We start from the raw sequence: 21,731 nt of genomic DNA on the forward strand, positions 1-21,731 counted from the left end.
GAAATCCCGCCAATAGGTAAATTGGCCAATATTTCTCGCAAATACAAAATGCCTGCATGGTGGCTCACATTTCGTTCTAAAACATTTATTTTATTAACTCAGCAAATATTTATCAAGATGCTTCAATTGCCAGATGCTTTTCTAGGAAGTGTGGAGCTTTACTAAAAATCCCAAGGAAAACAGCACCCTTTTCTGTCTTGCATCTCAGTTTATCCCCACAGCCTCAAGTTAGAAATGCTTCCCTCTGTGCTGGTTTCCTCTATGCCATCTTTTCTTTGGTTCCTGAACGTCTATGCAAATAACTTTTCTGGTCTGAGATTTTCACGTCACTCAAATCTTCTGGCTTTCACTTGCACCTCTTTTCTCCCCCTAGTCTCTTTCTTAATTCATAAGCCTTACTTATCAAAAGCAAAACTCTCGGGAAGCTTGAAGCTCTCAGTCCACCCTCACACTTTATCATGTCCAGAACTGGACTCACCTGCCTGTTCAAACTGGCCTTGTTCTCTGATTTCCTTTCTTGCTTCCATGAATGGGTCTCCCAGATCCATCAGGGCTGTGTCTGGCTGATCTCATATCCTCAGGACCCAAAATTGTTCTGGTGCATGTCAAGTCCTCAATCTTGAATGAATGAATGAATGAATGGGGAAGGCTACCTTACCAGAGCCACTCAAACCCCAGACCTCACAAAAATCTTTGTCTCCTGCTCCTCCTTGTTCAGCAGGGGGCTGAGTCCTCTCAGTATTAGCCTCTCATATTGTTTCCTCTTCCATCCTAATCCAGGCTTCTGGCTTTGCACCTGGAATATTGTGCAATGTCCAGCCAATCTCCCTCTATACCATCTCTCTCCCTCTTTTCATCCCTCCCCTCTGTAATATTCTCTTTCTTTTCTCTCATTTAGAATAAAATTGAGTCCATACTATAATAATAATGTTAATAATAATAGCTTTCATTTAATTTCTATGTTTTAAGAAGCAGGCACTGGCTGGGACCTGTCCACTTACCCTTACTAATCCCTATGGATTTATCACCCCATAAGATGCATGTTATTATCACAGCTTTACAGAGGAGGAAACTGGCCCTCAGAGATAGAATACGGCTTACCCAAGGCTGCGTATGTAGAAGCCTGTGCACTTCTGCTACTTTCTCCTTCCTTCTCTCTGTTAGGCACTGTGTTAGGTGCACGATACAAGGATGAGCAAGGCCAAACATCAAGGGAGTACCCCTGTCTTCTTAGAGTGCAAGTGGAGAGGGAAGACAGGAAAAGAAAAAAGTACCAAGCAAGGCGACAAAGGCTACGATACACAGGTGTCTCCACTGACAAGGGTCCAGAGCCAGGGAGCAACTAAGTCTGGCAGGGCCAGGAAGGCTTCTCACAGGAAGTGGGGCCTGAAGGGATTCTTGAAGGATAAGTAAGAGTTTTCCAAGAGGTCAAATTGGATGTAGGTGGGGGTGGGTAGGGAGGACATTCCAGCAGAGAGAATAGCATACTGTCCTGGATAAAGAGCAGGATGGGCATGGAGAAAGAGCAGGAAATGCAGCAGAAAAAGCCGCAAAGGACTCCAACTCCATGGCAGTTTAGACTTCATCGTTTAGGAGGGAGATGCTGGGGGTCATCAGAGGCTTTTAGGCAGGAAGGTAACATGATCAGAATTCTGTTTGAGAAGGCTCACGTCATAAGCAATGCTGTCAGTGCTGAATATAAGGAACAGGCAGCCTTCTGTGTTGATTGGTTGGCTGGGAGAATGTCACTCAAGTACATCAGAGAGACCAGCGGAGGTAAAGCAGGTTTGGGCATGTGTGTCAGTGTTAGCCAGAGGAATGGTAGAGGTGAGAAGGGGAAAGGTGGTAAGTTTGATGAGGTGGTAAGCATGATGAGCTTGACATTCTCATGGAGGTGTGTTAGGAAGCTGGATGGATGGGTCTACAGCTCAGAAAGGAGGGCTGGGGGAAGCCATGCAAATTCTACTCCCTTTTCAAATCCATTTAAACATGGTTCCCAAACTAATGCACAGCTCATATCAACATACTGGGAAAATACCTGAAATTGTTTCCCCAGCTCTGAAAGAACTATTCACACCTCACCCACACATTTACAGCCATCCAAAGTGGAATCTAGACTGAGTCAGAATTGAGAGCAGATTATTTTGAGGGTTCAGCGGCAGAAGATGAAGAAAGGAAGTGATAACGTTTCTCAGCTGACTTCTCTGTTCGTACTTCCTTCTTTAATTTTCCTTTGCCCCATCTTGGGGCAAAAAGCAGCTAACTTCTACAGCAGAAACAACATCCCTAGGCATGTGGCACTTCTTCTATTTCTCTTCTTTCCTTTCCAGTACTCTCTCACACCTGCAGACTAAAATTCAGCACCAACAGTCCAGTCATACAACTATATTTTATCATGGGCCTCCCTTGCTCAGGAATATGAAATAGCTCCCTACTACCTCTCTAATCAAGTTGAATGCCTCACTCTGTCATCTAAAGCATCTTCTTCTCTGGGCCCTCCAGCTTGATTTCTCTATTTGATAAAATGCTGCCTCACTTTTATGGCCCATTTCCACCCCACGCTTTGTAATGATAGCACTCAGGTTCTGGGAAGTGCTGACCAGCAGAACTTTCTGTGATAGTGGAAATGTTCTCTATCTGTTGTCCAGTACTGTAGCCACGAAACACACAGGCTTACTGAGTACTTAAAACATGGCTAGTATGACGGAGGAACTCAATTGTAACTTAATGTAACCTATTTAATTCATTTAAATGTACACAGCCACTTATGGTTAGTGGCTACTGTACTAGACAATGCAGTGCTAGGGGCTTGCTCATCCTCTCTCTACTAGAATAATGTGAGGTTTCTAACCTTATTGAGGCCCTCATTTCTCACTTGCCCCAAGGTGTTCTGTAAACACTGAGCAACTGCCTTCCCACCTTTCCCCGCCCTGGTCTGCCTGCAGCCCCCTCTCCAACCCTCCGCCTGGTTCAGACCTGCTTCCTGAAGGGCTGGGAATGTGCACTCAGGGTACAATGACTGGCTCACAAGTGAAGCTTATCATGGTTATTATTTTCATTATGAGAAACAGCTCCATTAATAGTAACAGATCTCTTTGTTTACTTTATCCGGAACAAGTCCCACCCACAAAGAAGAGAGACTGTTCAAAGAACCTAACAAGGAAAGTTGGTCAAAACCATGACAAACTCAAGGCCCCCAGACTTTCTTCTCTGCTATTTTAATGATCTCATGCTAGGCCTGGCTGGTGAGCAACACTGTGGGCTATGGAGGGAGATGGCTCTGCACTTGGGATGGAAAGTGCCCCTGCTTAATCCCCAGCTCATCTGAGACCCCAGCTGTCTCCCTACCCTCAGGGTTTGGGCCTAATTCCAGCAGTGTGGAACTTTGTACTGAGCTATCCCCACTCTCTAACTTATAACAGGTGGCCCAGTGCTCATAGTTACACAAACTATGGTGGGATGTTAACAGGCACTAAAGAAACACTGGTTGGATGTAGAGTGAGTGGTATCCTTTATGGATATAAAACATGGCCAGGCAGAGCCTTGTTCATATGTAAGCAGACAAGCTGGTTGCCTTTCTGCTACAAGGGCATCAAAGGTCCCCTTGGCCAGGTCTGGGAACATAAGATCCTCGCACTTACTCCTGCCTTTGCCAGGTCATTCTGCAACGCACACGTGCTCCTAGGAGGGTTTTTTGTTTGTTTGTTTTTCTTATAGTTGTTTTTGCCACAACAAAGCATGAAAAATTTCACAGAACTGTGAACAAAATACCAGCAACTAATTTCTTCTATGCTGAGTGAATTCTTTCCAATCTGTAGTATCTTTTTCTCTTCTGCTAACCGCTTCCCACTTCTTCAATGCTGTTGGAGACCTTCAGTTTCCCCTAACCCCCACTGTGGTCCTAATGATGTCTGTGGGCCTCTGGGGGTGGCCCAAGGGGCCTGAGTCCTTCTAGCCACCATGTGGCACTTCCCCTCACTCCTGAGTTGGCTCCATTTGATGGCATCACCTCAGAAGCCAAGTAAAGGTTCCTCATATGCCACTGCTAGAAGGGGGTCCTCCCTATCATGTCTGATGTTGCTACAGTTGGATGGTCACAAAAGCCACACCGGGATAGACTTCACTGAGGCTACTGAAGTGGGGGAGAATGCCTCTGCATCTGCTGGAATGCCTCACTCTTCGATTTTCTCCAAAAGTTTTGTGTGTAAACTATCTTTTTCATTTTTGCCTACTCTCTGCCCTCTTTCTAGGACAGATAAGAGTCCTTGCAAGGTATAGTCTCTGACTTAGAGAGATACAGAACTGTATACAGTCCTTCAAATTCCCTCCTCCCCATTGTATTCTGCCAAAATCTTTCTGTAGTTCTTTGGGGATCATTTCCACAGCCTTAGAGCAAGTGATCAGCCCACACTGGCTGCTTTTTAATTACAGATAGAAGGCCTTGAAGATAGCAAGTAACTGAGGAGCAAGATCTCAGATAAAGTTCTTAACTGGGATGCTAAGACACACTGATATAAAGCAAATCCTTTGTAAGCAAGCTACCAAATTGTCATCAAAATATCAAATTATCTTTTCTACATCTGAGCATAAGCACTCTTGTGATGATGTCTGTCCAATGGGAAGCTGAATCAAATATGTCTTGCAACGTGGGATACAACCTAGTATGACCTCACCAGGTCCCTGGTGGGAGGTAAGAAGTGACTGCCAGATGGAACCAGGTATAAGGGCATATTATGGGAACTCAGACCCCTTGTGAGGGTCAAGGGAGCCCAGTTACAGTGGAGTCCTCTTCAGACAGCAATATTGGACCGAAGGATGAAATGTGGAAATAGGGTGATAACTCCAGATACAATTGGAGATAGCTACAGAAAGACTCTGTAATGCCATATAAAACTCTGGTGTTTGAAAGTATGCCATGATTATAAATAAAGATTGAGAATCACAGGCGTAGAAGGAGATAGAAATAAGAGAATCAGAAAGAATGAAATTCTGTCCTTTGCAGCAACATGGATGGAGCTGGAGGCTATTTATCCTAACTAACTCAGAAACAGAAAATCAAATATCCCATGTTCTTATTTATAAGTGGGAGCTAAACAATAGGTATACGTGGACATAAATATGGGAATAATAGGCACTGAGGACTCCAAAAGTGGGGAAGGCAGGAGGAAGGTGAGGATTGAAAAATTACCTGTTGGTTACAATGTTCAATATTTGGGTGATGGATACACTAGAAACCCAATCCCCACCATTAGGCGATGGACTCATGTAACAAACCAGCACGTATACCCCCTGAATATATTTTTCAAAATCAATGAGGAGATGTTGGCAATTTAATGCATTAAAGATAGGAAAGAAGAAAGAGAGGAAGCTTGATGATGGAATGACATTTTGAAGTGAAGAGGGAAGTTGAAGAAGCTCTCAGTGATGACTCCCATCCTTTTAGTAGGAAGTAAAGTCACCTGTTGATAAAAACAGCAAGAGTAACATATACTTACCTTTGACCAGGGACTGTGCTAAGTGGTTTGCGTATGTTTGTTTAATCTCTACAACAATTCCATAAACAAGGAAGTATTATTATCCTAATTTAGCAAGTGAGGAAGCCGAGGCTCAGAGAAGCATAATTTATCCACCGTCAAAAAGTCAGGAAAGGTAGAACTAGTCTCCAATCAGGTGAAATGAAATGGGTCGGGAGCAGAGTTGATAGCTTAGTTTAGCTGTGTCATGAGTGGTCCAGGGATGGACAAAAGCTGAAAAAGGGGGTTGGAAGATGGAGCCTTCCTCCAGCAACACTTGGCAGAAGGAGAGGGGTGCAGACACTGGGTATTAGCAAGTGTGGAGGGCAGTGCAGGCCAAGGAGACAAGGGCATCATTGAACTGGCTGGGAAATAAGATGGGGCTCAGAAGGAAGTGTTGAATGGGGACCAGGGTGATCGATGGAGCGCTGTGGAGGGAAGGAAAGGAGAGCATGGTCCTGGGTGGGGGTTACCATGGAGACAAGATGTGGAGGTACAGGCTGGACTTACTCGAATGACAGGCAGAACTCCTGTGTGAAAACAAAAGCCAAATATACCATGCTGAGTGCATGCAGGTTCAAGGGGCTCTGGCTTCAAATCCTGCTTCTGAGTTCTATTGGCAGTGACGATCTAACTGTAAAGGTCATAGGAAGGCAGCAGCAGTGAGCGCCTTGTACAGCATAAAGGGCTGGGATACTCTCCGTGGGCAGGGGACAGAATGGCACTGGGCAGGAGAATTCAGAAGGTGCCAACTCCCTGCAGGCTGGCCCTGTGGCCGGGGGCTGGGGTTTGAGTGGGGTCCGCTGGAGGGGGCCTGCGTTCCACAGCGAGGTTGGAGCTAACAGCTTCTGTCTTGCGGCCCCTCCTCTAGCCGGCCGCTGTGGAAGAGTGCCCAGGCAGCTTCCGGCGGCCTCTGCAGCTGCGTGGGACTCACCCCGAGCCTTCAGAGTGAGGCATTATTTTCTCCTCTCTCTTGTCAGATACTGACTCCCACGCAGGAAAAAGGAAGCACCTTTTGTCAGATGCTGTGGCCACTTCCTCTTCAGAAGGCTCCAGCCAACCTTTCGGTTTGCAGAATGACGGGGCCCGCCGCGGTGCCGGACTGCCTGTGCACGGGGCCACCGACTGCAGCCTGGGTTTTATTCTTGGCCTGGCCCTGACCGGGAGCTGGCCCCTCGGCTGCTTCTCTGGCTCGGGGGGGACTTTCTCTGGCTCAGATCCGGACCCCTGAACTGGACCTGGTTGTCGTCCCCCCGCTTCTCAGCCCCCTCTGGGGTTCCTCTCTCCTCTCCGCCCACTCTTTGCTCACTGCCCCATGTCCCTCGGTCAGTCGGCCTGTCTGTTCCTCTCTATAGCTCGGTCAAGGAGTGTGATGACTGGCGAGCAGATGGCTGCCTTCCATCCATCGTCCACCCCCAACCCGCTGGAGAGGCCCATCAAGATGGGCTGGCTGAAGAAGCAGAGGTCCATCGTGAAGAACTGGCAGCAGAGGTACTTTGTGCTGAGGGCGCAGCAGCTCTACTACTACAAGGATGAAGAGGACACGAAGCCCCAGGTACCAGCCAGGCTGTTTGTCCCGTTCATAAGGCACGGAGGAGGCGGGCCTGGAGCCCGCTGGGATTTCACTTAAACTCACAGGGGCCTTCTCAATAGGACCAGACACACCCATTGGAAAGGAAATTGCTTTTCCCTTTACACCATTTTCTAGATACATAAACTGAGTTGCAAAGATGACAGAGTGGTCCTCCAGGAAGCACCAGGACGGGCACTGTGGAGTTTCCTACACATGGCTCTGAGTCAAGACTGGCAACAGGGCGGTGATGGTAGTGACACTCAGTCAAGGGCTCAGAGAGAGTGGATTTGGGTTCAGGAAAACCGATTTTGGGACTCATTGATTTGTTTGTTCAGTAAGTATTTATTGAGCGTTTATTATATGCCACACACTGTTCTAGGTACTTGAAATAAACTATGAGCAAAACAGATAAAAATCTCTTCCATATGCAGCTTAGAATGTGGAGGAAAAGACACATAAACATAACAAATAAGAAAAGTATGTAGTTTGTTAGAGAAAAGATTAGTTCTATGAGGAAAAAATAGGATGAGCTAGCAGATGTCACGAGTTAAGGGAAGATGTAATTTTAAAAAGGATGGTCAAATGACCTCATGAAGAGGGTGACACTGGGGCCGAGACTAAAGAGGAGAGGGAATAAGCTGGGTAGATCTCTGGGGAAAGAGTGTTCCAGGCAGAGAGAACGGCCGGTGCTAAGGCACCAAAGGGAGCATGTCTGGCCTGGCTGCGGAATAGCAAGGAGGGCACTGTGGTGGGAGCAGAACTAGCAGGTAGGAATCAGAGGGGATGAGGTCTGAGAAGCAAGAGGGTAGTCAGGGGTCAGGGGCACAGACTGCTGGGGCACTGCAGGCCACTGTAAGGACCTGAGCATTCACACTGAGGGCCACAGGGAGGCATTGCAGGGCTCTGAGCAGAGAGTGACAGTTTTTGGTTTAAATTGTAAAAAGACAGCTGTGGCTACTGTGCTCAAAAATAGAGCCAGAGGAGACGCAAGTAATCTAGGTAAGGGGTTATGATGTTTAGGGGCTCAGTAGGAGTTGTGGGCTGGAGGAAAATGGTCAGCTTCTGGATATACTTTGAAAGTAGAGCAAACAGGATTTCCTGATGCAGTGGATAAGGCTGTGAGAATGGGCTTTAATCCTAAATCTTGGGCCTAGGTCTCTTCGGCCAACCTCATTGCTTTTTTGGCCATTGTGGTGTGTGAGAATAAAAGAGGATGCTCTGAACAATTACGCCAGGACCCCAGGTGCAAACTGGATGTCTCAGGGCATCCAGCACAGCTGTCACCCACCTAGAACTCATGTGTGTGGAGATGGAAGTATGGGCTTGGCCAGAAGGAGCTTATTTGGGATGACAGACTCTAGAACCTTCTGGAGCCAGAACAAAATCCCGAGAAAGGCAAGGACAAGAAGTGTGTAGATATTGGGGGTGGGTGGGACCAAAATGAAAAGCTCATTTTGGAAGAGGACTGTTTTCTTTAAGGGCAGGCTTGAGGATCCATTGCACATCAGCAGGACTTGGTTAACCAGTTCCTCCACTTAAGGGCTCTGAACTCTGGAGTCTCTGTCACTGCAGAGGCCAGGGAAGGATCGCAGGGACCCCACCACAGATGGGGCTCTTGCCTCATGTTCTGTGCATGGTAACCAGCCTTCCTTCTCTTTATAAACACCCCAGACCTTATTAAAGCCAAGCAATTCCAGGCTAAGATGGCGGTTGATATGTTAAGACGATGGAGGAAGTCCTCCTATCTGCAGAGTGTAAGGGAGACGGCAGTAACGCTTTGGCCACCCCAGATCAATGAAAGGGGCAGCTGAGTGTGTTTCCATGAAGTGTAGAGGGTGAGAGGTAGTTTATATAAAAGGATGTGTTCTTTTCCTGGTTCCACCACTATTTGGCCCTGTAATTATTTCATTTTTCCGGACCCCGCTTTATTCTTTTATAAAATTAGACAATACTACCTGGCCTGCATTTGTCACAGGATCAAATGATATAAAGCAGGTATAAAAAACTGTTTTGTTAAAACATAAACTAATGTCAAAGGGTAAAATAAATATCTGAAGGTTCTTGCTTCTCCTCCTTACTTCTGGGAGGAAGAAACCCAAAGCCTTCTCAGGACTAAATTAGCCTGAGATAATTAGGTAACACTTCTAGGATGACAAGGATAATTTATTTTGAGGAAATCTATTGATATAATACATCGGATCAATAGGTCAAGTAAGCAAAACCACACAACCCTTCAATAGATGGCTGAAAAATGCATTGATAAAATCCAACACTCATTTCAGATATGAAAAATAGAAAAATAAAACCTTTAGGAATACAATAATAATTTCTTAGAAAGAATAGTGTATTTTACCACATGTTGATATGTATCATTTGATTATAAAAGCTTTAAAAATTATTCACAATCCCATTAGTAAGAAATAGCCACCTATATCCCCTCCACTTTCAGCCTTCCCTATACATATGTATTTAGGAACTCATCTATTGTAAATGCAAAATTAGTATAATAAATATTATTTAATGAAAAAATTAACAATATATCATGAATTTTGCCCCAACACTAAATATGATTCTACAATATAATTCTTAGTTATGTCAAAGCAATCTATTATATGAATGTTCCATAATTTATTTAATTAATTTTCCACTGTTAGGAATTTGGGCTGATGTTTATACTATTATCACAAACAATAATTAAGTAGATTCCCCACAGCATTGTTTATATTAGTGATATGACAACAATGCCCAGTGGTAGGGGCTAACTTATATTAGGCTACATTTATATATCTATACAATAAAATACAATTCAGACATTGATGCTCCTAATTAATACTTTTTGAAATGGAAAAATGTCCATAACATTACTGTCTTTAAAAAGCAGTTTACAACAGAAGATGATGTATATACTAATCCCATTCTTGAAAAAAAAAGCATGAATCTGTATTTATAGAAAAAGGCCTAGAAAGACATACACAGAAGTATTAACCGTGGTTATCTCTGAATACTGGGGTTACACATACAATTTCTAATGTCTCTTTAAAAATATTTTTATAATTGAAGTGTAATCATTGTAAATTTAAAAAGAATGCACACAAACATCCTATCCCCCAAGATACCAAAAAGCAGAAACATCACAATAATCTTGGAGCCATCAGGCGTAAGGGCCCTCACATACACTGATGATGTGTGTGTTGGTTGGTACAACCTTTCTAGAAAGTCATCTGGCCAGATTTACTAAACACCAAAAAATTGTCATACCCTTAGACACAGTAATTCTGGGTCTACGAAGTTCCAAAAGAAATAATAAGAATATTCAATGCTATTTATAATGAGAAACATTGGACCTAGCGTCCGGCAAAGGAGAATGTAAATAAATTATGGAGCCGTGTATGATAGACTTTCCTGTATGTGCTTCTGGAGAATCCTGTGGCCCTACACAAGGCAGTCTGTGCATTTTTTCTTTGAGTTCTCAGAAAGATCCTGTCCAGTTTTAACGGTTTAAGGCTGTGTAAGTCCATGAACTAGCTTTATATAAACCATTCTAGAGAGTTGTTTGTCAGGGAAATTGTTTCAAACAGAATCTCAGCTTATCGCCCTCAAGTTTCTGTTACAATGATGGTCTCAGACAATCCTAGTAGTAGGGTAGACCCGTGGTCCCATTGTCTCATCTGCCTGTTTTCTGAGGCATCGCCACAAGTGGTTGTCTACCAGCGGTGTGCTGGTAGATAGTTAACAACTGGCCCTCTGATGGGAGAGCCGATTGAAGGGCAACATTTGCTAATTTCTGTGTGGCAGATACTCCCATCATGACTGATGCAAGCTACCAACATTATACCACTGAACTCAGAGTTGAGAAGAGACATGCAATAGCACCACATTATATAGGATTTCCACCACACAGATAGAATAGATGGAAATAACCACAACAGCAGAAATGATAGCAAAATAATCAGAAAGGTGTACAATTTAAGTATCTTCACCTTTTTAATAGAAAATATTTCATTGTAAGCTTATAGAATTTAAATTTTAGTAATAGCTGTATTTAACTGGCTTAAAACTTAACAGTTAAGTTCTCATGAGCCAATATAAGCATTTTGAAAAATGCTTTAACAAGGAGTTGGGCTAAAATGTAGTTCTAGATGAACTACAAATTGGATTTAAAAGTTATAGCTAGAGAATTCTAGATATTCTGGCACCTCACTGCCACAGCTGTCTCCATTGCTTTACTGCTGAAGGACTTGTGGCCTCCTGCATAAACATTTCTGTCCTTCCATCTTTATACAGAGCCCACCCCAGTCAACTTGCTAAGTACAAGTGGCTCTGGGCAACTTGGGCCCTTCCCTTCCTGGAACAATTCTTCCTTCCCTATCAGTGTCCCCACCCTCACCCCTACTGGTGTCTCTTCCTCTTACCTGCTTTCTTCTTGCCATTTATGAAGTTCAAGCCTCTCATGCTGAGCTTGAGGAAAGGGCCTGCAATTAGTCATTTACACCTTGGTGTGAACATGTTTAACTCTCATTGTTACTTCTCTCAGCAAGTGGGACTTGTAAGTAAAGCCTTATTTGTAATTCTGGAATCACACTGACTGATGCTGGAATCGTAGATTTCTTATTATCTAGCTTTTGTGATCCTGGGTCAGCTAATTAACTTCCTTGAGCTTTACTTCTTCCTTTCTCCAATGGGGAAGAATAACAGTCCTTCCCTCCTAGACTTCTTATGAAGATTAGATGTGCTGATACATTCAGGGCAATTAGCATAGAGTCAGACACCTAGGGAATGCTCAATAAATGGCATGTATATTTTTAGTATTTTATTGTTACTATTTCTGATGAAATGATTTTGGGTGTCAAAAGACAGTTTGGAGAGGTACTTAGGGGAGGCAGACACCTCTGTGTTTGCCCTTTCCTTCTCTCCTTACCAGACAGTGCTCCATCCTGCCTAAAAGCAACAAGGCCTTTTATTCTGGTGCCATAACTCATCCAAAGTAGCTCAGCAGCACAACCTCAGGGTCATTTTTTCTGAAGGCATGGATGTGATTTATTAAAGATGGTGAGGACTGTGTAGGTGGAGGTTATTTTTAAATAATAAAATTAGAGGAATGTAGAGGAATTGCAGAATTCCACTTTCTAGACCGATTTTCTTTTTCTTCTCCTCCTTCCCCTTCCCCCTTCTCCCCTTCCTTGTCTTTCATCCTCATTCTCCTCCTCCATTTGTTCTTTCTCCTCTTCCTTCTCCTGCCCTTTCTGTTCCTTCCCCTCCTCCTCCTCTTCCTTCTTGTCTTGTTCTCTCTCAGTCTTAGGCATTTTTATTTCTAGATCCTCAAGAAACATTTATTCTCTTAGGCTCCTGAGTGGATCTTACTTCTGAGATTTCCTTAAGACTCTTTTGCCTTTATAGTGTTCTCTGCCACCAGTCATCTCCATCGGTACTTTGTTTTGAAATAAAGACACGTGTGTTTACTCAACTCAGAATCAGGCCTGCTACCTTCAACAGCCAGCGAGGTGTAAATTATGAATAACTAGATCCAGTGCGCACTAACGATGTTACTTTGTGCAGTCACTTAGACATTCAAAGTGTCAGTTTCCTCATCTGCAAAGTGGCAGTGATAAATCTTGCTATGCTCTGGATATGGAGTTGTTGTGGGGGTCTAATGAATTATCTCAAGTGGGCCAGGCACGGTGGCTCATGCCTGTAATCCCAGCACTTTGGGAGGCTGAGGTGGGTGGATCATGAAGTCAGGAGATCTAGACCATCCTGGCTAACACTGTGAAACCCCATCTCCACTAAAAAAAATACAAAAAATTAGCCAGACGCAGTGGTGAGCGCCTGTAGTGCCAGATACTCAAGAGGCTGAGACAGGAGAATAACTTGAACCCAGGAGGCAGAGGTTGCAATGAGCTGAGATCACGCCACTGCACTCCAGCCTGGGCAACAGAGCGAGACTCCGTCTCAAAAAGAAACCAAAAGAATTATCCCAAGTGAAATGCACTGTAAGTGATAAAGCACCATGCACACACATGGTGGAAGTGGCTTGTTTTTCTGATAATATATCTGTGTGTAAGAGGTCACAAATCCTACTAAACCCTCAGACCCCTTCATAGATCTGGGCTTGGTGGTGGGACCATTTCCCACCACCTCAGCTTTGATGGTGAAGAGCACTGGCTTTGGACTGACTTCTGAGATGAACTACTATTCTGGCACTTACTAGCTCTATGACTTTGGGTAGATTATAGAAGCTTTCTGATCTCTTTTCTTCACCTATAAAATTTACATAATGATACTTTCCTTAGAGGACTGCTGGAAGGACTACATGAATAATACATTCAAGGTGGTTAGTGAAGGTGCGAGCACCTTCTACTCAATACCCCATCCCCTCCAATGGTCACCTGAGTGGTTCAGTCCTCCCTGAACCCCTCTGGCAGCTTGGCAGGTAGTATGGTCTCCACAGCCTCAGCATTGCCTTCACAAAGACCAAGTGTCTCATTTGGCCATCAAGTTGGGTCCTTGGAAAAGTGGGAAGAGGCAAGTATTGGTGATGACACCCTCTTAGCTCATTCTTATATCAGAACCTTGTCTTTCTCTGGGCACCTGATTTGCTCTGGAATAGCTGCCCTTTGATTTGCCCAAGGCCTGAGTAGCAGAAGGGGCCCCATTAAAACTGGGAGGCTAGCTTCCCATGTCCCTATCCTCCTACTCTCCTCCCCATCCCATCATTATCCTATCTGTTGTCCAACCCAATTTTAGTTTATATTAAATTGCTGCTTATCCTTAAGGCCTGACTTTTCATCTTTCAGGGCTGCATGTATCTACCAGGATGTACAATCAAGGAGATCGCCACAAACCCAGAAGAAGCTGGGAAGTTTGTCTTTGAAATCATTCCAGGTAGGCCACCACAGGTAGGACAGAGGTGCAGTGCAGAAGTAAAATTCCCATTTTACTTCTGGACCCTAGAAGTCAAAGCTATATTCGGAGAGTAATTCAACTAACTAACCAACCAGCCTATTGAGAGCCCACAATGGTTCTTTATACAGTTAATGAAGCTATTGTAGTTTATTAACTAGTATCAAGTGCTTGAATAATGCCCATGAAAGAAGTAGGTGAGCATTTTGTTCAACTCTGTAAGCATTTCATGAGCGTGTGCTAGGAGCCAGTTACTGTACAAGGCTCTGAGCCACTGACATGAAAAGTGCACCTTCTCTACTCACTAAAATGAACTCATTGTAGAAGGAGAGTAGGTCATCAAATTTAACAGTTAAAATATAAATGGAACCACGTGAAATTGCCATTTTGATGGGTCAAAAATTATAAAAATTCAGCAGCCTCAGATGGTTCCACCCATTGCATCTCACCCATTGCACATGATTGGCACATTGGAGGTGCCTCTTTCAAATCAAGAGTTTCCTTCCTTGAATGCATTTGGAACAAGGGGAGTTTGGGTCATGCTCCTGGATCTGCCACACTGAGATGCTTCTACTCTTCTCCCTGTCTCTTGCTCCTCTGCTAGCCCTAGCCCTGCCAGGGGCTCCAGGACTAGAGGCTAATCTGGCTGTGTAGCCTTGCTGCTACTGCTGTACTGACCACAGCGGAGGAGGCCACATGGCCCCTGAGTGCCTCTTTTCTTCACCCCCTCCTTCCCACTCACACAAGGTGACTGTGTGCATAAGAAAGTTGATGGAGAAGGCAGCGTAGCATAGAGGTTAGAAGTGTCCAGTCTGGAGCTAGCCTGCCCTGACCCTGGCACTTACTATTTGTGTAAGAGGTTACTTAATTTCTCCCTGCCTTTTGATTTTTTGTCTATAAAATGGGGACAATAATGATAATAGTAAAGATTTAATAAGGAAATAAATATGAAGCATTTGATACAGTGCATGTCATATCAGTGTTTGATATTTGGGAATAATCTAGAGATAATTATAATGCAGAAAAAAAATCCTAAACTTGGCTATGACTGTTTATAGAATACAAATTTACAAAAATTTTTAAGTTTCTAGATGCTTGCTTGTTTGTTTTTTTTGTTTTTTGTTTTTGTTTTTTTTTTTGAGTTGGGACAGTCTTGCTCTGTTGCCCAAGCTGGAGTGCAGTGGCGTGATCTGGGCTCACTGCAGCCTCTGCCTCCCCAGTTCAAGCAATTCTCCTTGCCTCAGCCTCCTGAGTAGCTGGAACTAGAGGTGTGTGCCGCCATGCCCAGTTAATTTTTGTATTTTTAGTAGAGACAGGGTTTCACATGTTGGCCGGGCTGCTCTCGAACTTCTGACCTCAGGCAATCCACCTGCCTCAGCTTCCTGAAGTGCTGGGATTACAGATGTGAGCCACCATTCCTAGCCTCCCTTGCTTTTTCATCTGAAGGTCTAACTTCCTCTCTTTCTCTTCAGAGGAAAAGCAGGAAAGCCTGCTTTTTCAGTCTCTCCTCACTAGAAATATCTCTCTCCCTTTCCACAAAGGTTATTCTGTTCTTAGGATGCTTCTCCCAGTGCAATTCATGGGACACAACCATCCATGGTAACATGTGTGTCCCAAAGCCTGGGTTTTCAATCTAGAGTAACCCTACTGAGAGATCCAGCTGAAGATTCACTGTGGGCTTTGCACCAAAAATACCTACTCTTCAACATTGCTATACCAGTGCAGGAGGAAGGTTTGTTCTCTCATTATCACTTATGTTTGCAGCAGTCTCCTGGCCTGCTAGAGGAATTCACAAACAGATCCTTTTTCTCTCTCTCTTTCGCTCTCTCTCTCTCTTTCTCTCTCTCTCTCTCACACACACACACACACACCACATCTCATAAGGACAAATAATACTAAAGTAATAATAAGATAGGAAACCATTTTCATAAAGATACCATCATCTTCCAAGGTTCCACCCAACCCTAAAGTGAGATATCCTTCATGTTATAACATAGAGAATTTTTAGTTCCTCTTTTTATCATCCTCTTTTGCAAGATGATTCTCCGGAGCTAATGCTGGTGTAAGAAATGGGCTTCCCAGATAGGATCCTCTCTCTGTGATCACCAGTTTTAGTTGCACAAACGTCACATAGAAACTTTTAATTGTAGGCATGCTAGTTTTTTTTTTAATTGGGGGCAGGCAACAATTTAGGGTAGGCTTCCCTCTCCCTACTGATCTCTCATAGCATAACTATCTATTCTTCTATTCTCCTCCTACCCCAGGGAATCACCAGGAAGGGGTTGTTCCTTCTGTTGCATATGTTATCTCATTTAGTTCTCATACCACTTTATGATCTGTTGTTACTCATTTGTACGACAAATTCATTGAGCACCTCCTATGAGCCAAGTACTATTGCAGGACTGGGAATGTGGCAAAGAACAAAGCAGCCTGCATGCACGTTACGTGGGAAGAGACTAGCAGCAAACCAAATATATGGGCAAATTATGTAGTTTTTCTGATAGGATAGCAATTATGGGGAAAATTAAACCAAAGAGAGAGAAGGTGCTGGCTGAGGTGGTTGATTGATTATTGTGAACAGAGCCGGCAGAGTTTGTGTTATTAAGAAGGTGACCTTTGGGCACAGATCTGAAGGCAATGAGGGAGTCAGCTAAGAGCACAGCTGGAGGAAGAGCATTCCAGGAAGTGGAAATTGCCAGTACAAAGTCTCTGAGCCTATTTCATATGTTCAAGGAAGGTCAAGGAGGCCAGTGTGGTTACAGTGAAGTGATGGCAGGAGACAAGAATAGGACATTTTCTCAGGGGTGGGCACAGATTTCATAGGCACTTGCAGGCAATGTGAGAACTTTAGCTTTTCTGCTAGAAGGATGGGGAGCCACTGGAAAGTTTTGAGCAGAGGTGTGACATGACATAACTCATGTTTTAAAATTCTTTTGAATTGAAAACAAAAGTAAGTAGTGGGGGCAAGGGCAGAACAAGGAGATCAGTGAGGAGGCTTTTGCAAGAATCCAAGTCAGAGATAGCAGTGATGAAGGGGCTGTGAAGTAAGCAGTTTCTGATCACATTTTGAAGGTAGGGAGGGCTTCATTTGCTAATGAATTGGATGTGGGAAAAAGAAATCGATGTTGACTCCAAAAGTTTTGGCCTAAACAATGGAAAAGATGGATTTGCTGAGATTTGTGCATGTAGCAAGCAAGTTTTTTTTCGGGGGTTTGGGGGTAAGGGCATCAGTTTTGGACATATTAAATAATATCTCCATTGTACTGGTAAGGAAACTATTGCTCAAGATAATTTAGCTACTGTAGTGATAGAGGTAAGAACAAGATATTAAGGGATTATAGAATAAGGACTCCCCACTCAACTTGGAGTAGGGGGAAGAAAGGTCCCTAGAAAAGGTAACATTTGAGTTGGGTTTTAAAGAATGGGTAGGAGTTCTTTAGGCAGATTAAGAAAAGAAGAGAGGTCCATTTCCAACAAGAGAAATAGCCCAAAGGGTAACACATGTTGAACAGGCTGTGTTTAAGTCAGATAAATTATGTGCCTGAGGTCAGAGGTGCTGTTCGTGAGCTTTGTATTAATGTCAGGCAATTCCTGTTAATGAAAGTCTGTTCTAGCACCCCAATTATGCCCAAATATTTACTTTTTTTTAGGACAACAGAAACCTTTCAAACCCCCTTTGGTTCTTGTCTCTTGGACCTATCTTAATATCATCAAGCTTCACATTATTTCACCCTTTGGGACAACCTGATTTTCAATCATCCTGTCATCAGGTCATCAGCTCTCCTAACCAGAAGAGTTAGTCCATGGAAGTCCTCTTCATTCAGGAACATCTTGAGAGCTGCGTGTTTCCCAGTGGGGTTGCTCATGACAGAACAAAAAGACCTCCCAGGAATCAGGGTAAACTGAGAAGACATGTTTTAACAACATAGTAGACTGGAGTTGAGGCATGGTGGAGACGGAGCGGGGAAAGACACCAGATAAATTTTGTCCAAGGTCAAATTTAGGAGCAATATGGGCCAGCGGAATCTTTCATGGGAGGAAGGACACCGACAGACTTGCCCTGTGTTTGGCAGCAACTCACTGGATACTGACGAACTGGTGCTTTTGCATCCCTGGGATTCAGTTCTATTATCTATAAAATGGAAATAATACTAACTCCTTATTCTATTTCAAAGGGATATTGCAATTCCTAGAGGGTCTTTTTGTTCTGCCCTGAGTATTTTTAACTTACCATTTTACTTCTGAAAACATCCAGTTCTCAGGATACTCTCAATGCCCAGTGCTTTAATGGTCAGAAAAGCTGATGACCTAATGACAAGATGGAGTCAGAATCAGGTTATCACAAAGGGTGAAAGAAGGTGAGGCTCAGTGATATTAAGATAGGTCCAAGAGACCAGAACCAAAGGGGATTTGAAAGTCTTTTCCTGCCCTGCAGGGAAATACAGGTTTAGGCACAACTACTCAGCTAGAACAAGCTCTCTGAGGGAGATGGCCTGCCATTGTGAGAAGAATGGATTGCTGCTTACGAAGGCACTTTGAAATTTAATATCCCATAATTGAAAGGGATCACTATTGTTTTCTTGTCCCCGCTAAGACCTTTTTATTTTAACCAACTAAAGAAAATACCAACTTTGAGGATTTCCATTTGCAAGCAGGTCCACGGATGAAGTTAGAGTTCAAGTCTCAGATCTGATACTAACTAACTGCATGGTCCAAGACCTGTGTTTGATACTCTCCTTTTCCCTCTCTTGCTTCTTTCTTCCTTTTTCACTTTCCCACATTCTTTCTCTTCGTCTCCTTCTCCCTGCTTTCTGTTCCCTTCAATTTCTCCCACCTTTTTGGTCCATTTGAGAACACCAACCGAGGAAACACTACACCTATCTATAATCTTAGGTTTGAAGTGAAAATGGTAAAGAAAGTTCTAACAAGTTTCATGTATCCATTAACTGAGTATTGAGAACCTACATTTGAAAGGTGTTGTGTGGCCAGGAGAGCAGAAATATGATCACCAAGCACCAATTTTGTGAAAAAAGCACACATCTATTCACTGTCACTCCCACCTGAGGTTGTCATCTCCTACCCTACCCCCACAACTGAGCTCAGGACTAGCTTAGGAAAGTATCCACGGTTGGCGTGATGATCTAAAGTCTTCTAACTTTTATGGGCTGACCCTGTCTCATCTATGCTGAAACTGCACCATGAACTTCCTTTTCCTTTTGGTAGGAAATGACTTCTGTCCTCTTAAATGAAAGCAGCTCTCAGCCCAAGCTATGCCAATTGCAAACCATTGTGTTCAATGATTTGTCTGTTGAGTTAGAGCTTCAGTAAGAGTGCCCGGATATCCAGTTCCACTGAGGATAATTCGACAATGCATTTGTGTTGTTTGGCTGGTAGTGCTTCATTGAACCAAGACATCAATTTAGGTCTGGTTCCCTTCTCTTCCCCTTGCTCTCATGTTCTTATCACTCTAAGACCTTCACAAGTGCTAATTCTTCCTCCAGCCTCATGGGACCAGAATCGCATGGGACAGGACTCCTATGTCCTCATGGCCAGCTCTCAGGCGGAGATGGAGGAGTGGGTTAAATTCCTCAGGAGAGTTGCTGGCACACCCTGTGGAGGTAAGGACCCCTGCAGGCTTTCCTGGGCAGGTGCCTATGACATCTCAGAAAGTAGGAAGTAGCTCCAATGTGATAGCTCCTTGAGCAGTGCTCAAGGGAGACAACCAGAAAGCAGTTCTCTGCATGCCCATGGCCAAGTGCTCTGTCAAATGTGGAGGAAAAGTGGGCTCAGAGCTTCTAGCTTCCCACCCCCTGCGGCACCTGGGTCATCTCAAAGAGCCATCTCCAAATTAACTGGAGGGAAGGCAAGTCTTTTGCAGTGAGTAAATGTGTATGATATCTGGAAGTAGTGCTTTCTCCTCTCTGGGCCAAAGTACTCTCATCTGTAAAATGAATGGGTTGGATAAGCTGACCCCGGGTACCCAGCAGCACTGGCTCATGCAGCACCACGAGTCTGCCTGGTTCTGGGAACTGATGGCAACAGCTATGCTGAAAGCATAAGTTAGACTGCATAAGTCAGCACATGAAAATAAAGCTACTGTCCAAAAGAGGGATGATCAGACTGGGGAAGGTTCAGGAATTGTGTCTGAAGTCTTGCAGGTGTACAGTGAGTTCAGCATTCAACACTTTTCTGGGTTTCACAACTCAAGAATTTGAGCTCTCTGGGAATCCTGGTGATGTTTCCACATTTGAGGAGGGTCCTGACTAAAGAAAACGGATGCAAAAACTATCTGAAATTAACAAACACGTGAATCTAGTAAGTTTCCCTGCCTTTATAAAAATATGAAAAAACCGACAGGTATGAGTTCTCAAGTTAACATTTTCCTTCAACTTTTTAGGAGCACGCCTACTTGTGTCAACTCCAGATAACCTTAAATATATAGTTATGTATTGACTGTGTGGCCTGTTATTTTGGAAATTATTTAGGGAGGCTTTCGTAGTTTGAATATTAAATATTTATTTCATTGGCCTACAGCTTCCTTCAGAAATTTCAAGAATATCACAATAATTTTGTGGAAAGTAAAGAAAAAATATTCCACCAGAGGCATTTTATGTTTATCTTTCATCTACTGTTTACATCTACACACTTTTTTCAGAATGGCTTAAGCATTTTCCCCAAGTTGCTATGGAATCTTTTTCTTTTTTTTTTTTCCGAGACGGAGTCTTGGTCTGTCGCCCAGGATGGAGTGCAGTGGCGTGATCTCGGCTCACTGCAAGCTCCACCTCCCAGGTTCACACCATTCTCCTGTCTCAGCCTCCTGAGTAGCTGGGACTACAGGCGCCTGCCACCATGCCTGGCTAATCTTTTTTTGTATTTTTTTTAGTAGAGACGGGGTTTCACCATGTTGGCCAGGATGGTCTCGATCTCCTGGCCTCGTGATCCACCCGCCTCGGCCTCCCAAAGTGCTGGGATTACAGGCGTGAGCCACCGTGCCCGGCCTGGAATCTTAATTGATACATTTCAGCATTTATTTGGTTACAAATAGAAATTGTATCCAATGATGTTAAACAACCAAGAAAGATTTGCTGGTTAGATACATTAGCTTCTCAAAGCAACCAAGAGCAGGAACTGCCAAGAGGTTTTATAAGAGTCTGGGACCAAGAAAGGGGACATTAGCATTGATTTTATCCTGTCTGTTTCTCTGGGAGCACATGACCTGCAGGTACATAATTAGGCCACATGCTGGAAAATCTTAGCTGTGACCATCCTTATTGCGCTGGATTATGAGATTGTGAGCCACCCTTTTCTGTTTTCTCCAGTCCAGTGCTTTAAGCTATCTGCATAGACAAGGGTAGTGGATGTTGCCTAATCATGCACCTGCTCTCTGAGTCAAAATGGTATCCGTGTACTTTCACTAGGTTCTGTGGCTACTGTGATGCTTGGCTGAGCCTTGCCGTAGTGAACTGCTGTACTCTGTCATGATACACATGGGGATTTCACCCTCACCGCACCCCGAGACCACCACCCTGAGAAGCAAGTCAAGCATGAGTCCTGTAGGCGGTGGAAAGTCCAGCGAAGGGGAAATCAGAGTGCAACAGCACTTATTTATTCAAAGAACAGTGTTGCCTCTGATACAGCATCTCAGATTATTATTATTATTATTATTTTGAGATGGAGTCTCACTCTGTCTCCCAGACTGGAGTGCACTGGCATGATCTCGGCTCACTGCAACCTCCGCTTCCAGG

At 43.9% G+C, this 21,731-nt stretch overlaps 1 protein-coding gene across 8 annotated transcripts in view, besides 5 other annotated features; it reads left to right on the forward strand.

The window, feature by feature from the left end:
* The window catches only part of ARHGAP25 (Rho GTPase activating protein 25), a 116,290-nt gene that overhangs the window by 57,809 nt on the left and 36,750 nt on the right, over window positions 1-21,731 (forward strand). For 4 of the 8 annotated variants that reach the window (XM_011533207.4, NM_001007231.3, NM_001364819.1 and 1 more), the window contains exons 2-4: window positions 6,869-7,068; window positions 13,881-13,968; window positions 19,488-19,604. In XM_011533207.4, the coding sequence (XP_011531509.1) occupies window positions 6,886-7,068; window positions 13,881-13,968; window positions 19,488-19,604 (388 nt within the window). In that variant the 5' untranslated portion in view covers window positions 6,869-6,885. Of the gene's footprint in view, window positions 1-6,557; window positions 7,069-13,880; window positions 13,969-19,487; window positions 19,605-21,731 lie in introns of those variants that run through there. The other 4 variants (NM_001166276.2, NM_014882.3, NM_001364820.1 and 1 more) reach the window with 2 other exon arrangements.
* Window positions 3,079-3,128: an enhancer, noted in NCBI's record as "active region_15960". NCBI's record gives its function as "activates an Ori minimal core promoter by ATAC-STARR-seq in GM12878 lymphoblastoid cells {active_cell/tissue: GM12878}" and the evidence as "EXISTENCE:reporter gene assay evidence [ECO:0000049][PMID:35858748]".
* Window positions 6,381-6,480: an enhancer, noted in NCBI's record as "active region_15961". NCBI's record gives its function as "activates an Ori minimal core promoter by ATAC-STARR-seq in GM12878 lymphoblastoid cells {active_cell/tissue: GM12878}" and the evidence as "EXISTENCE:reporter gene assay evidence [ECO:0000049][PMID:35858748]".
* Window positions 6,511-6,600: an enhancer, noted in NCBI's record as "active region_15962". NCBI's record gives its function as "activates an Ori minimal core promoter by ATAC-STARR-seq in GM12878 lymphoblastoid cells {active_cell/tissue: GM12878}" and the evidence as "EXISTENCE:reporter gene assay evidence [ECO:0000049][PMID:35858748]".
* Window positions 6,621-6,670: an enhancer, noted in NCBI's record as "active region_15963". NCBI's record gives its function as "activates an Ori minimal core promoter by ATAC-STARR-seq in GM12878 lymphoblastoid cells {active_cell/tissue: GM12878}" and the evidence as "EXISTENCE:reporter gene assay evidence [ECO:0000049][PMID:35858748]".
* Window positions 21,523-21,582: an enhancer, noted in NCBI's record as "active region_15964". NCBI's record gives its function as "activates an Ori minimal core promoter by ATAC-STARR-seq in GM12878 lymphoblastoid cells {active_cell/tissue: GM12878}" and the evidence as "EXISTENCE:reporter gene assay evidence [ECO:0000049][PMID:35858748]".

The sequence above is a fragment of the Homo sapiens genome, chromosome 2 (genome assembly GCF_000001405.40).
Source record: "Homo sapiens chromosome 2, GRCh38.p14 Primary Assembly".
In the NCBI taxonomy this organism is placed as follows: domain Eukaryota; kingdom Metazoa; phylum Chordata; class Mammalia; order Primates; family Hominidae; genus Homo; species Homo sapiens.